Source organism: Homo sapiens, chromosome 9, assembly GCF_000001405.40.
Source record: "Homo sapiens chromosome 9, GRCh38.p14 Primary Assembly".
In the NCBI taxonomy this organism is placed as follows: domain Eukaryota; kingdom Metazoa; phylum Chordata; class Mammalia; order Primates; family Hominidae; genus Homo; species Homo sapiens.
Genome location: NC_000009.12, coordinates 103,223,666 through 103,238,631, shown reverse-complemented (window position 1 = coordinate 103,238,631; position 14,966 = coordinate 103,223,666). Strand labels below are relative to the sequence as shown.

General features: G+C 36.6%; 1 long non-coding RNA gene across 1 annotated transcript in view, besides 2 other annotated features; it reads left to right on the top strand.

Annotated features, from left to right (window-relative positions):
- LINC01492 (long intergenic non-protein coding RNA 1492) overlaps positions 1 to 14,966 on the top strand; it is a 184,506-nt gene that overhangs the window by 86,402 nt on the left and 83,138 nt on the right. Inside the window, exon 7 of the long non-coding RNA NR_121578.1 lies at positions 10,821 to 10,918. This is a non-coding gene — a long non-coding RNA (long intergenic non-protein coding RNA 1492). The remainder of the gene's footprint in view (positions 1 to 10,820; positions 10,919 to 14,966) is intronic.
- Positions 245 to 845: an enhancer, noted in NCBI's record as "H3K27ac-H3K4me1 hESC enhancer chr9:106000069-106000669 (GRCh37/hg19 assembly coordinates)". NCBI's record gives its function as "activates a minimal SCP1, AML or CMV promoter by ChIP-STARR-seq in naive H9 embryonic stem cells {active_cell/tissue: H9 hESC(naive)}" and the evidence as "EXISTENCE:reporter gene assay evidence [ECO:0000049][PMID:30033119]".
- Positions 846 to 1,447: an enhancer, noted in NCBI's record as "H3K27ac-H3K4me1 hESC enhancer chr9:105999467-106000068 (GRCh37/hg19 assembly coordinates)". NCBI's record gives its function as "activates a minimal SCP1, AML or CMV promoter by ChIP-STARR-seq in naive and primed H9 embryonic stem cells {active_cell/tissue: H9 hESC(naive and primed)}" and the evidence as "EXISTENCE:reporter gene assay evidence [ECO:0000049][PMID:30033119]".

Below are 14,966 nucleotides of genomic sequence, written 5' to 3'. Positions count from 1 at the left end.
TTATTCTAGTTATACATTCTTCTAAATTTTTTTCAAAGTTTTCAACTTCTTTGCCTTTGGTTTGAATGTCCTCCCGTAGCTCAGAGTAATTTGATCGTCTGAAGCCTTCTTCTCTCAGCTCGTCGAAGTCATTCTCCGTCCAGCTTTGTTCCGTTGCTGGTGAGGAATTGCGTTCCTTTGGAGGAGGAGAGGCACTCTGCTTTTTAGAGTTTCCAGTTTTTCTGTTCTGTTTTTTCCCCATCTTTGTGGTTTTATCTACTTTTGGTCTTTGATGATGGTGATGTACAGATGGGTTTTTGGTGTGGATGTCCTTTCTGTTTGTTAGTTTTCCTTCTAACAGACAGGACCCTCAGCTGCAGGTCTGTTGGAGTACCCTGCTGTGTGAGGTGTCAGTGTGCCCCTGCTGGGGGGTGCCTCCCAGTTAGGCTGCTCGGGGGTCGGGGTCAGGGACCCACTTGAGGAGGCAGTCTGCAGGTTCTCAGATCTCCAGCTGCGTGCTGGGAGAACCACTGCTCTCTTCAAAGCTGTCAGACAGGGACATTTAAGTCTGCAGAGGTTACTGCTGTCTTTTTGTTTGTCTGTGCCCTGCCCCCAGAGGTGGAGCCTACAGAGGCAGCCAGGCCTCCTTGAGCTGTGGTGGGCTCCACCCAGTTCGAGCTTCCTGGCTGCTTTGTTTACCTAAGCAAGCCTGGGCAAGGGTGGGCGCCCCTCCCCCATCCTCGCTGCTGGCTTGCAGTTTGATCTCAGACTGCTGTGCTAGCAATCAATGAGACTCCGTGGGCGTAGGACCCTCCGAGCCAGGTGCCGGATATAATCTCGTGGTGCGCTGTTTTTTAAGCCCGTCGGAAAAGCGCAGTATTCGGGTGGGAGCGACCCGATTTTCCAGGTGCCGTGTGTTACCCCTTTCTTTGACTCGGAAAGGGAACTCCCTGACCCCTTGCGCGTCCGGAGTGAGGCAATGCCTTGCCCTGCTTCGGCTCGCGCATGGTGCACGCACCCACTGACCTGTGCCCACTGTCTGGCACTCCCTAGTGAGATGAACCTGGTACCTCAGATGGAAATGCAGAAATCACCCGTCTTCTGCGTTGCTCACGCTGGGAGCTGTAGACTGGAGCTGTTCCTATTGGGCCATCTTGGCTCCTCCCCAGTCGCAGGTTTGTTACATAGGGAAGCTTGTGTCATGGGTGTTTGTTATACAGATTATTTCATCACCCAGTTATTAAGCTCATTAGTTATTTTTCCAGATCCTCTCCCTCTCTCGCCCTCCACCCTCTGACAGGCCCCACTGTGTGTTGTTCCCTGGTATGTGTCCATGTGTTCTCATCATTTAGCTTCCATTTATAAGTGAGAAAATGTGCTCTTTGGTTTTCTATTTTTAGAATTACACTACATTTTAAGTGAGATTAACTTAATATATTTTTAAATATAGTGGATGATTCCTTTACTCATTGCCAAGTAATTCTTCCATTTCCATTGAAATAATTATTTTCTCTAAAAAAGTTTAGCAAATTTTAAAGAAATATACTATAGATCCAGGCATTTGCTGGATAGCTGACATTTCTGCAATTAGAAAAGATAGTGCTAAATGACATCATTCTCTATTGTTTTATGCTTTTCTGAAATACAGCATGTGGCTTCTCAGAACCACAGAGGTAAGAGCAGCATGCATTTGCCTGGTTGAGGCTTAGTCCCTATGAGTTATCTCGTCCAGTTTTACGGCTTCAAATACCAACTACATCTTTTTGGCTTCCAATTTGTATCTGCATTCTTGTCCTTACCCTTCCCTTGCAAGTGGTTGAAAGTGTTCTGAGGCCACATGAATTTTTCTGTTCATTCTTAGGTACCAGAAAGCTCTATGCTCATAATAAATTGCCAAAACAATCTCAACAATAAAAAAGTTTACATTTATGTAATAGGAACAAACCTTGAATGAATTCTCCCTCTGCAAACTCCTGCTGCAGGATAGATCTTTTACTAATTGACAGTGTATCCTGTTCTTTACTACATTATATTTCTATCCTTAACACCTGTTGTTTATGCGGAAACAAGGAAGAAGTAGAGGTCAGGAAGGGCAGGGAATACAAGTAAAGGAATTCCTAAGGTTGTCGAACAACGCCATTATCATGCCTGGGTTTGAGAATTGTTTAAATATCACTGTTTTCTTAATGGGGGATTTTATTAGTGTTTTGCAGAACTTCCACCTTCTCCAACACATGCAAGAGCACGTAGCCATGCACACACACACACGCACACACGCACAACCTTGATGTTAGTATATCTGGTTCAGTCTTGAGGTTGACTATGTCTTTCTTGTAGCGATTCACTCCATAGTTATATTTTACTCCTAATGCCCATATCACCCCCCTAGAAGTCTGTGCATAGGTACCCCTCTCTGCTACATTGCCCACAGACAATCCACAAGATCCACTCAAGCATTCTCTTTCTGAGACATATATGGGAGTGAAAATGATTCCCAAAGCCACAGTTGCTTCCTTTGTTCTGCCACCTAAGTGGATAGTCAGCCAGTCTTTCATCCTATACATTTCCCAAGAAGGCGTAAGATTCTGGTCCAGTGTGTTTTTCCTTACTGTTGGACCATATGTCGAGGTCGCCAAATAATTTCATTAAGTCTCTTTTGAGCAAGGATGGGGCTTACAACAGCAACTGTTGAAAGCCTTAAACAGATCTCTCTTAACAACACTCTTAGTTTCCAGCCACACAATAATGTAAATCCCTTGTGAAAGTAAATAATCTAAATAATTCTCTAGTACTTTCTTTTTAGAGTCCCCAAGAAGGTCTGTGTTATAGGTTGTTTGGTATTTGATATCTGCTGAATGTTTGTCTCTTTCAAAACTTTACATTTTAACATGCTATTATGACGACACTTGTTTACCTGATGTGTCCATTTGAGTGATGTTAGGTGTGTTAAAATTAATATTTTTAAAAGATGATTTACTCTCTCTCCTTTCAACCCCATATCAGTAGATGTCATCCCCATCCATCTAATTATGAAGCAAATGATTTAGGATACAGTGTGTGCTCTTCCTTCCTGTATTCCTCCCTCATATGTAACCTATCAGCAATTCTTATTCAGATTATCTCAAAAAGACATAATGAAATCCGTTTACTCTTCCATTTCCATGGCTACCACTCTAGGTTTCTCTCATTGCTTGAATAGGTGACTACAATAATCTTCTCATTGGTCCCCTGCTTCTATTCTTGGCACAACACACCCTACCCTCCTAAAATTGTCTTACCTCATCAATAACGGCTTTTACAAATAGTTTAGATTTCATCACTCCTCTGTCTAAAAACTTGTGATGCCTTCTCATTGCCCTTTTTGATAGCATAATAAAATCTAATTGAAAAACTTCTTCTATGGCTAAATACACATAGCCCTCCTCAATCTCATCACCTTTTCAATCATACTAGCTCTTTTTTCAGTTACAGAAAAATGCCAAATCATCCCAATCTCATGGTCTTTCATCTGCCATTCTATCTTCCTGTACACTTTCCTCCTGCATCACCATGTAGTGGACCCTTATTTATTTTTCTTTTTTTTTTTTTGAGACAGAGTCTTGCTTTGTCGCCCAGGCTGGAGTACGGTGGCGCAATCTTGGCTCACTGCAACCTCCATCTCCCGGATTCAAACAGTTCTCATGCCTCAGCCTCTTGAGTAGCTGGGATTACAGGCACCCGCCACCACGCCCAGCTAATTTTTTTATGTTTTTAGTAGAGACGGGGTTTCACCATGTTGGTGAGGCTGGTCTCAAACTCCTGACCTCATGATCCCCCCACCTCGGCCTCCCAAACTGCTGGGATTACAGGCATGAGTCACCGTGCCTGGCCATTTATTTTTCAATTTCAGATAAAATGACACCACTTCCAAGTAGCCTCCCCTGATAATATGAAACAAAATACCTTCTTGCAAACCAGTTACCCTCCATTGTATTATTCAATTTCTTTTTCTTTCATAAAACCTACTACACTTATAAAGCATTTTGTGTAGTTTTGGTTTACATTGTATGAGTTGTTTCTACACCCAGTCAGTAAGATAGACCCTCAAAGAAATAGCTCTTCTGTTGGCAACTACATTTTCAATTGTAAACATTTCCAACTACAAACTCTACATTTACATATTAATTGTAAACACATCTAATCCATTCATAATATAAAACCTTATTTCACATTACACAAATATTTTCTATGGATACTTTAAAATAATTGTTTTAAAGTTTGATTTTGTAAATTCATTTATTTTTGCATTCACAGGCCTGTATTAATTATGTATTTTTTCATAAATATTATACTAAACATTCGATTTACAATCTAATATGATAAGTACAATGACAAAAATGCACTGAGGCCTGGCACAGTGGCTCACGCCTGTAATCCTAGCACTTTGGGAGGCCACGGCAGGCGGATCACCTAAGGTCAGGAGTTTGAGACCAGCCTGGCCAACAAGGTGAAACCCCGTCTCTACTAAAAATACAAAAATTAGCCAGGCATGGTGCCCAGAGCCTGTAATCCCAGCTACTTGGGAGGCTGAGGCAGGAGAATTGCTTGAATGAGAGAGCTGGAGGTTGCAGTGAGCTGAGATCATCACTGCACTCCAACCTGGGTGACAGAGAGAGATTCCGTCTAAAAAAAATAGGAAAAAAAAAAAAGTATTGCTATGAAAACAAATAGATGGATATGTAATGGTAGAAGGGTAAGAGAAAGGATATAGCTCCTGGGAGTTAGTCAATCAGAACTGATTTCTTTAGAATGAGCATGGAAACAATAATTGGTTAGGAGCATTCAAGGCAAGAGGAACACCATTTATAAAGGCTTAGGGCTGAGTGAAAGCATGCTAGTGTATATTTAAAAAAAAAAAAAAGGAGGCCAGTTGTGGCAGCTCATGCCCGTAATCCTAGCACTTTGGGAGGCTGAGCTGAGTGGATCACTTGAGGCCAGGAGTTTGAGACCAGCCTGGGCAACATGGTGAAACCCCATCTCTACTAAAAATACAAAAATTAGCTGGAAATGGTGGCGTGCTCCTGTAGTCCAGCTACTCAGGAGAATGAGGCATAAGAATCGCTGGAACCCAGGAGGCGGAGGCTGCAGTGAGCCAAAATCATGCCACTGCACTCCAGCATGGGACTGTCTCAAAAAAATAAATAAATAAACAAATAAATAAATAAGGAAACAATAGAGTGATAGAAAGCTGTGGCAGAATATGAGGTTTAAGGATGATGAATTTAAAATGACAAATACAAATTGTGAAATATTTTAGTGCAAATTACATTTGAGCACATTTGCCTTTTAAAAAGATCGAAGTAAGAAATGATTTAAAAAAAAACACCTAATATTGTGGAATGAACATAGATAGAAATTCAGGATAGAACTCTAAGGATAGAAATGTTAAGATGAGGTGAATGAGACCCTATAAGAATGAGGGAAAGGTCAAAGATGACTCATTGGTTTCTAACTGCATGGTAGAAAGATTAAATGGTAGAAGAAAAACGTGTGTAAAAGTTAAGTTTAATCAGAATAATTTTGAAGTGCCTGTAAGATTTCATGATTGAGAAGTGCACTGCATGAGGATTGAGGGATCTGTGTTGGAGGTCTATGATTGGGAGTCATTCACAAACTGATATTTTGAAGACTTGGGTGTAATGACTTGAATAATCAATGAAAGTTTATTTAACTTATATGTTGTCAACAGCCACTTTGAAAAGTTGTTGATGACCTTGCATGTCAACAAGTTGGTATAACTTGAATTGGACAGAAAGACTGTGAGAAATTTGGTAAACTCTTTGATTAATGAGAATGAGTACCTGTAAGTCCTGCATCAACAGGCAGCACAGAAGAGAAAGTGTATTAGTTACAATTTTTAAAGGAAAAGCAGTGTTTGTAGGTAAATTTCTAATAGTAATGGCCTGAAATAAGCATTGGTGTCTTAAATATGTTATTTCTAATCCCAAAACTTGAAATATATAGGGACAAATTCTTGAGAAATTCCCTTTCGAGAGGAGCAGTAGTGGTGCTCTCAGAAAAAAAAAAAAAAAAAAAAAAAAAGCTACTGGTTTTCATTATGGCAATTTATTGTACTATTTTCTAGACAGTTTGGGGATATAAGTGTGCTATTTATAATGAAAAGAGCAATGTAACATAAGGCTTAAGGCTATGAGTAAATAACTGGTCCTAAGTTTTCAAATGGAAACCTGTGGTGGAATGACGCTAAAGCTAGCAGCTGTATCCACCACGTCTGGAAGTGCAAAGCTTAGAAGATCTTCCTGCATAGATTTGTTTTGTATTCTGTTCATAGAAATACATTTGGTGTTATAGGGTAAAAAAACAGATGAATATGTCAATAAGAAACATAGCAATAATTATAATACCAATAATAATCATCACCATCGTAAGACTTCCATTGTAATGAAAGAGGGTTAGTCACTTTTAAATAATTTCAGCTCTCACTTAATAATTAAGGTTTTCAATAAAAGACTCTGTCTAAGTTTTGGTCTTGTTGTTATTCCTTTGGGCAAAGGACAAGAGTATATCCTTTTTTAATTGAAGTGAACGTTACAAAATATAAAATTAACCATTTTAAAGTGAATAGGTGGGCACAGTAGCTCACACCTGTAATCCCAGCACATTGGGAACCTAAGGCAGGAGGATTGCTTGAGTCCAGGAAAATAGTCGAAAATCAGCCTGGGCAACATAACAAGACCCTGTCTCTGTAAAAAAAAATAAAAATAAAAATAAATAATTAGTCAGGTATGGTAGCACATGCCTGCAGTCCTGGCTACTTGAGATGCTGATGTGGGAGGTTTGCTTGAGCCCAGAAGTTCAAGGTTGCAGTGAGCTATGATCACGCCATTGAATTCCAGCTTGAGATGTCTCTGCAAAAAAATTTAAAAAGTGAATTATTTGGTAGCATTTAGTATATTCACAATGTTGTACAATCACCACTTCTATCTAGTTCTAAAATATTTTCATTGCCCCAAAATATAACCCCCTAGCCCTTAAGCTGTTACTCATCATTCTTCCCTTCCCTTGGCTGCTGGCAACCACTAATGTGCTTTCTGTCTCTATAGATTTACCTACTGTGGATATTTTATATACATTGAATCATACATGTGACTTTTGGTGTCTAGCTTTTTTCACTTAGCAAAATGCTTTTGAGGTTTATTCTCATTATAGCATGTATTAATGCTTCATTTCTTTTTATCGGACAATACTGCAATATGGAATAATTTTATAGAGTAATATTTCATTGCATGTGTACACCACAGTTTGTTTATCCATTCATTTATTGATGCACTTTTGGGTTGTTTTCACCTTTGACAATTGTAAATTGTGCTGCTATGACTATTCATGTATTCAAGTGTTTGTTTTAGTATGAGTTTTTAATTATGTTATATATCCAAGTATGGGCATTCTGGGCACTCTGGTAATTGTTTAACTTTTGAGAAATTGTCAGACTGTTTTTCATAGTGTCTGCACAATTTTACATTCCTACCGTCAAAGGTTCTAATTTCTCCACATATTCTTAAAGACGTGTTATTTTCTATTTTTTTCCCAGTAGCCCACCTGGTGGGTATGAAGTACTATTTAATTGTGATTTTGATTTGCATTTCCTTAAGAACTAATTATGTGAAACATCTTACTATGTGCTTGTTGTCCATTTGTATATCTTCATTGGAGAAATGTATATTCAAGTCCTTATGCCCAACTTTGTGTTTTTGTTGTTGAGAAGGTGGCAGGATATATGTAGCCAAAAGAGGACACATACAAAAGAAACAAACGTTCTTATCAAGAAAAATATGAATGAATTTTGAAAAACCAAACAAATATGCAGCTCAATAATTTTTTGTTTTCTTGACTCAGAAAGGATCTATTTTGGAACTTATTGCATTGATTGCATTCTTTGTATTTAAGGGGTATTATAGGTAAGAGCAAGATATCTTTCATTGTTGTAATTTAAACTGCACAATGCTTGTTGATTTGTTTAATTTATCAATAACGTTTAATTCTGTGATCACTGTAGATATCTTCTATAACGTTATTTTTGTCAAGTTGCTGAAAATCAGAGTGCATGTATCTTCTTCATATCTATGTCTGGGTTGAAAGAATAGTTATGGTTGGGTGCAGTGGCTCATGCCTGTAATCCCAGCACTTTGGAAGGCCGAAGAGGATGGATCACCTGAGGTCAGGAGTTCGAGACCAACCTGACCAACATGGAGAAACCCCGTCTCTAGTGAAAATACAAAAATTAGCCGGGCGTGGTGGCGCATGCCTGTAATCCCAGCTACTCGGGAGGCTGAGGCAGGAGAATTGCTTGACCCGGGAGGCAGAGGTTGCGGTGAGCTGAGATTGTGCCTTTGCACTCCAGCCTGGGCAATAAGAGAGAGACTCCAGTCTCAAAAAAAAAGAGAAAGAAAGAATAGTTGCATAGTAGTTACATAGAAGATCTGAAGTACATCAGTGGCTACATTTTGAAAGTTATTTATTATTTATTTATTAGAAACATATTTGGAAATCTTGATGAGAAAATATTGAGGGGTTAGGACATGATTTTTTCACATTCAACATAATGAAATACAGGTGGACAGTGAACTGAGTTAGGACTCTAGCCAGAGTTCACTAAAGTGTTCATACAATACTTACAATTGAATTATGAGGTCTTGTTTAGAAAGGAGAATATTTTAACATTATGCATTTATATTTGAATCAGTAGAAAAGGCTTTGAATTGCCCATCTGTGACAAGTACGGAAAATATAACACTGAAATGAACTCAAACAATTCTTACAGTGTAATTTTCTGAGTTAGCGGAAGCTGTTACATTTTAGTCACCCATGGAAGAAAATCCTTAATCTATTTAATAGTTCTGCCTTTTTTATTTACACCTACCTTTGTTCCTTCGGTATAGATAAGTGAATTCAATAGACTTGCGTATTTCTTCCGTGGCTGTCATTATTATCCAGAATACAATCAGGCTAATAGTAGCAATTTCATTCTTTATTGTCAGAGTAAAATGTGACTGATGATGTGGTTTTTATATGCTTGTGGCTACTTAAAAATGAAATATTTCTCAAAAAATATTAACATCACAGTATATAATTGAGACAAAAACCATTTATTTTATTCCCAAATCTATGCCTGACCTTAAATATGTTACAAATAAGCTCAGCAACTGAATAATGCCTATGAACAAATGGCTAATGTGCCTTTCCAGTTGGTAAACGAGTATACTGCGCTTGTGTGAAAATTTTTGTTCTCCACCTACACATTTGTTTGTTCAAACTACTGCTTTTTAGTGATCATTAAGTGAGAAATCTCTCACTCCCTAAATGGTAAGATAGCAATAAAAGAGCATTATTTCTTAAGGGTGAGAGGTCCACATTTGAATTCCTATTTTTACTCTTTTGTAGCTTTATAACTTTGGCAAGTTCGGTAACTTCCTCAATCCTCTGCTTTTCATTTGACTGTTAGTTTGATTAGTAACTTCCTACAGAAAGATATTAATAATTTCTCTTTTATTCATTATTCCTGCATGAGCAACTGCATCAACCATAAATGAAACTGTTTTAGAATAAATTTATGCCATGAGGATTCCAGTGATTGAAATGATTTAGTCTGGCAGTATTTCATTTTTTTTTGTCATCTATCTCAACCACAAGGGCCAATTCATGATCTCTTGGTTTGAATTTATGACTTACATGTTTACTCTACCTGACTTTGTGGGTGTTTTTGTTGTAATGATGAGTTGTCAATTGTCTTTGGTTTCATCTCTACAACTAGCAGATTGGTTTTGATGTCAGACCATTACTGAGATATAATTTCATGACCTTTTCTTTATAAATGTATGTCATTTTAATCGCTGAGTGTAAGACATTAGCGTCACTACACTTTTTGATTTTAATGGGAGGGTGAGAGAACAATTGTATCTAATGTTCTAGAAATTCCTCCTCATTTACATCTTCTCTACCAGAAAATAGTTATTAATTAATAATATTTTAAATTTATATTGATAACTAACATTTACTGAGTACTTTCTGTGCCAGACCATGATTTAAGCATTTTATACAGTATGTCACTTAATCCTTACATTCCTGAGAGGTTAGTATTAATATTGTTTCTATTTCACAGATGGTATAGAAAGGTAAATAACTCATCCAAAGCCAACATGTAGTAAGAAGTTTTAGTTTCTGGGTAATTATTCCTCAGTGGTTAGTTAATTTATAGTTTTCAACAGCTGAAAGAATGTAAAACAAACAAACAAACAAATAATCTCAAACCCTAAATAATGAACATCTCAGAATTTCATACAAATGTTCATACAAAGGGGATACTGTAAACACTTTAATGTAATAATTCTTTCCAATCATACTGGGAAAACTCTAAAGACAGCTAAAGCAGATGGATCAAGACTCATATACAAAAATAAGAAAGATTTGACTGTTTAATTATTTGTATTTAGTTTGTTCATCATAGGTATACTAGGGAATGTAGGTAACATCTAAAAATTGCTTAAATTCATAGCTTGAGTACTGGATTCTATTTAGTTTTGCAGTTGTTGGCTTTTCACTTAATAATAGAGTCAGACTCTAATCTGCTTGCCTTTTCAGGTTGTAGGACTCTATCAATATCTATTTAAATAAACACAATGTTTGAGAGAACTCTCCCTGTTGCTCAGTTTTATCTGAAGACCAATATTGTTTGATCTAAAATGTTTTCCTTTATGGCATTTTAAAAATTGTTAAATTATTCCAACGTTTTAGAAAAATTACGATATTTCCACTAAAGATTTTATTTTCTTCTTTTTTTGTAGGGAAAGTGAACACATTTGGAAATATTGGCTCAGCATTGCAGCTATACCCTTTAGACAGGAAACACACTTTCCAGTTCTCCTTGACAGAGAGGCTGAAGGTAGGTTATCACTCATCATCAAATGTCTTGAGGATTTTTTAGAGTAAATAAATATTTCCCTCTTTATATGTTTCTAGCAAAAGTTCACAAAGGAAAAACAAATCTGAATGAGCTAGTGTTTCAAAAAAGAGAGAAAGAGAGACTACGTTTCTTTGTAGAAATAAATATTATTATTGTTGTTTAATAGGAAAGCAGAGTCTTTGGTACAAAATGTGTATCTTTTGTCCTATACCTACCCTAACCCTATAGGTATTTCAGTTTGTAACTTCTGGTCTGGAGATATTCAGCCATGTAAATGCTTCTGAATCTTCACTTCTATATTTCTGTCAACTGCAGTTTTACAGCAAAAATGTGGTTCATCGGTTTAACCCAATTTTCAGGGTAGGAATGTCAAAGAAATGCATCAGTCACAGAAAATTAAGAAACAGCCATATAGTACCTAATGGCCTAAGAAACTTAATCTGTTTCCCAAATCACTTGACTTACTGTCTAGGTCTTTTTTTTTCTTTTTTTCTTTTTTTGTCCCCACTGAGGAATATGAAGTTCAATATCTTTTCCCTGAAGACTTCAAATGAAATCAAATTGTCTTTTATTTCAAACATAAATCCAATAATCAATATCTGGTTGGCAGGGTCTTATATGGGTTATTTCTTGAAAACCAAAGACAATAATTGAGTTTTAAATGTGCTTAACATTTCAGGATGATACATGGTGAATGCAATGGAGAATCTTTTTCTGTCAATGTAGATTTCTTAATAGAAATTCACTTAAATGAGGGCCTATCAATTTGTAGTAAATTATTTCACTCTAGTTTAGAACAAGCTTTATTGAACACATGCCTGCCCCTACACAGAATAAATCACGCCTTGGCAGTGCTATTCATTTAAATAAATATTTTCTCTGTTTTAATTTTAAATAAGTCCTTACCATCTGCTCTGTCCTTTAGTTACAAATGTCAAGCAACATAACTTACTATTGTGCCATTTACAAACTGCAGACAGAGAAGTGATTTGGTGCTTGCCATGTTTTTGTTTTTAGTTCTACACAGTCAGTATTTGTTTTTCCTTTTCTCATGCTTCAAATATAATGGGAGATATAATTCTATTCTGACATATTGAAACCTTCCCCAGAAAAAAAGAGACACAGGGAAGGAAGAATGATTAATTGAAAGACTAAACTAAGGCCATATCTGCAGAAATGTGATGTATCTGAAGGATTGTAATCACGTAGATGAGATGTTAAACCTAACTCTATGAGGCAGATGCCATGCAGACTGCATTGTAGCCAAGACCCTTAGTAAAGGAAAACCAATTTGTCTTATAGGAAGAACAAAAGACATTTCCAGAGAAACCAAGAATTAAAGGTGCATTCACCCTGTCTGCATCTTTTGATAGACTTCATATTCTAGGGGCATAGCAAAAACTACTCAAATGTTAGAAAAGCATCACAAACTGAATAGAACAGGAGCGTGATAAGTCTGGTTAACATGAAAGGTTACGTTCAATTCAGCTCAGTGTTCATTAAGCCCTTTCTCTGAAGAAATCACAGCATGAAGCACTTAGCTGAATACATTCATAATGAAAATAAAAACTGCTGGTTCATTTTTTAAAAAGAAAAAGAACAGAAAACCCTTATAACATGTTTATATGAAAAATTCATAAAGAACTAAAATTACTAATTGGAAATTTATGACATTTTATAAAACCAGAGCATAGGAGCCTTCAAAGCCTTGGCTATTCTGCTAGGACAGGCTTCCCACGTTGTGGATGGGAACTCTCTTGAGATGTTTCTTGGAATTTTTCTCTCAGTTCAACATTCCACAGCTATCTGAGAGCAGACTTGGGTCTCTAGGATACTGTACTCTGGCCAAGGCCAGACTAATCTGGGTCTCCTGTTCCAGGATGATACAGTGATAAGGGTGGTCAGTTTTATAGAATTAAAACATAGACATACTTAAGTTTCCTTAGGCACTGAAATCTGTGGTTATGTCTATTTGATTATAGTATTTCCCAGAGATAACGTAAGTTTTCATCTTTTCATTTTTAAACCTTACTTGGTAGTAATTATCTCAGGTAAACTCATCTATTCTACATTTTCCCTGTGGTAAAACCACTCTTCTCTTTCACAACAGATAGAGTGGGAAGAAAAATGTTGATATTTAAAACTAAAGTAAAAAAGCTACAGAAGCTTCTACTATTTCAGATAAGTAAAATAATTCATGCAAGGTGATACTTGTTTTTCTGTTTGATGTCAACATAGGCACATCAGTAGGTAACTTTCCTTGGTCGTGTGAAGTCCTCAGAAGAAACAATAATTTGGAAATAAAATTACAAAGCTTAGAAATGTCACACTATCTACATTCACAATGAAATAAAAAACTAGAATAAAAACAGAATCAGAAAAAAAAATTATATGCCATCTGGGTATATAAATAAGCAAACAAAAAATATTCTTTCTCTTTCAAATAATTTTTTGAGTCAAAGATAAAACCCAAAGTGAAACTGCAGTCTATTTAGTATACTAAAATATAACAGTAATGAAAACAGTACATATCAGAATGCCTAAGGAATAGCACTATGACAGCTCTCAGAGGGAAATTAATTACATACATGCACAAATAAGAAAGAAGAAAACAAACTAATTAAACATTTGATCCAGAAAGTTAGCAAAGGAACAAGAAGATAAAATGGGAATAGAAAAAAAGAAATAATAAAGATTAAAACAAAATAAATAATTGGAAAAATAGTAGAACACCGCCTATTTTATGATGAAACTAGTATTAATCTTCACAACAAAGACGTTACACAGGCAGGACACTTTCAGGGGCAACACAGAACTGAATTGATATATAATATCCGGATATTTACTTTCATTGCCAGTTTAAAAATGTAGGAAATTAATGCTCAAAGAGATTAAGTAATTTACCTGTGATCGAAACATTTCTTTTCTTTGCAGTGCTTCTACTTACTGGTAGATTAGCCATTCTGTACTCCTGTCTATATTTCCAGTGTCTGTCATCTTTAATCTCCTATTTTGATATTAATATACATTTTCTCATTTTCTTTCTCCTTTTTTTCTTTTCCTTTTTGTTTTTTTACAGAGTCTTGCTCTGTCACCCAGGCTGGTGTGCAATGGCAAGATCTCAGCTCACTGCAACATCTGTCTCCCAGGTTCAAGCAATTATCCTTCCTTAGCCTCCCAAGTAGCTGGGATTACAGGCTCTGGCCACCAGGCTCCGCTAATTTTTGTATGTTTGGTAGAGATGGGTTTTTACCATGTTGGCCAGGCTGGTCTCAAACTCCTGACCACAAGTGATCAGCCTGCCTCGGTCTCCCAAAGTGCTGGGATTACAGGTGTGAGCACCACGCCTGGCCTAATACACATTTTCTTTCTCAAATTATTCTCTGAGCGCTAAAATATTTCCCATTTCACCTCCCTTCATTGAGAAGTTTTAAAATAACAACAACTGAACTTCTATTATTTTACTCTCACTAGTAGAACTTCATTTACCAGAGTTTTTTTAATAAATTCAAAATATTAATCATATTTCCATCATAAGAGATCTCATAGAATGGTGGGTATACTTTCATTTATTTTTCTATCCCCAAGATAAGCTTATTTGAATTCTATTTCATTCCAAGTTGAAGATACTGTGAAAAGTTGCCTAAGTGTTACTTTTCATTTTCATCAAAATGTATCATTCGCTACATTTCTTTTTTAAATATATTTAAGGGAATTTTTTTAACTTTTATTTTAAGTTCAGGAGTACATGCACAGGTTTTTTAATACAGGTAAACTTGTGTTGTGGGGGTTTGTTGTACAGATTATTTTGTCACCTTAGTAATAGGTATAAAGTCTAGTACCCATTAGTTATTTTTCTGGATCCTCTCCCTCCTCCCAATCTCCATCCTCTGATAGGCCCCACTGTGTGTCGTTCCCCTCTGTGTGTCCATGTGTGTTCATCATTTATCCCCCACTTATAAGTGAGAACATAGGGTATTTGGTTTTCTGTTCCTGCATTAGTTTGCCAAGGATAATGGCCTCCAGC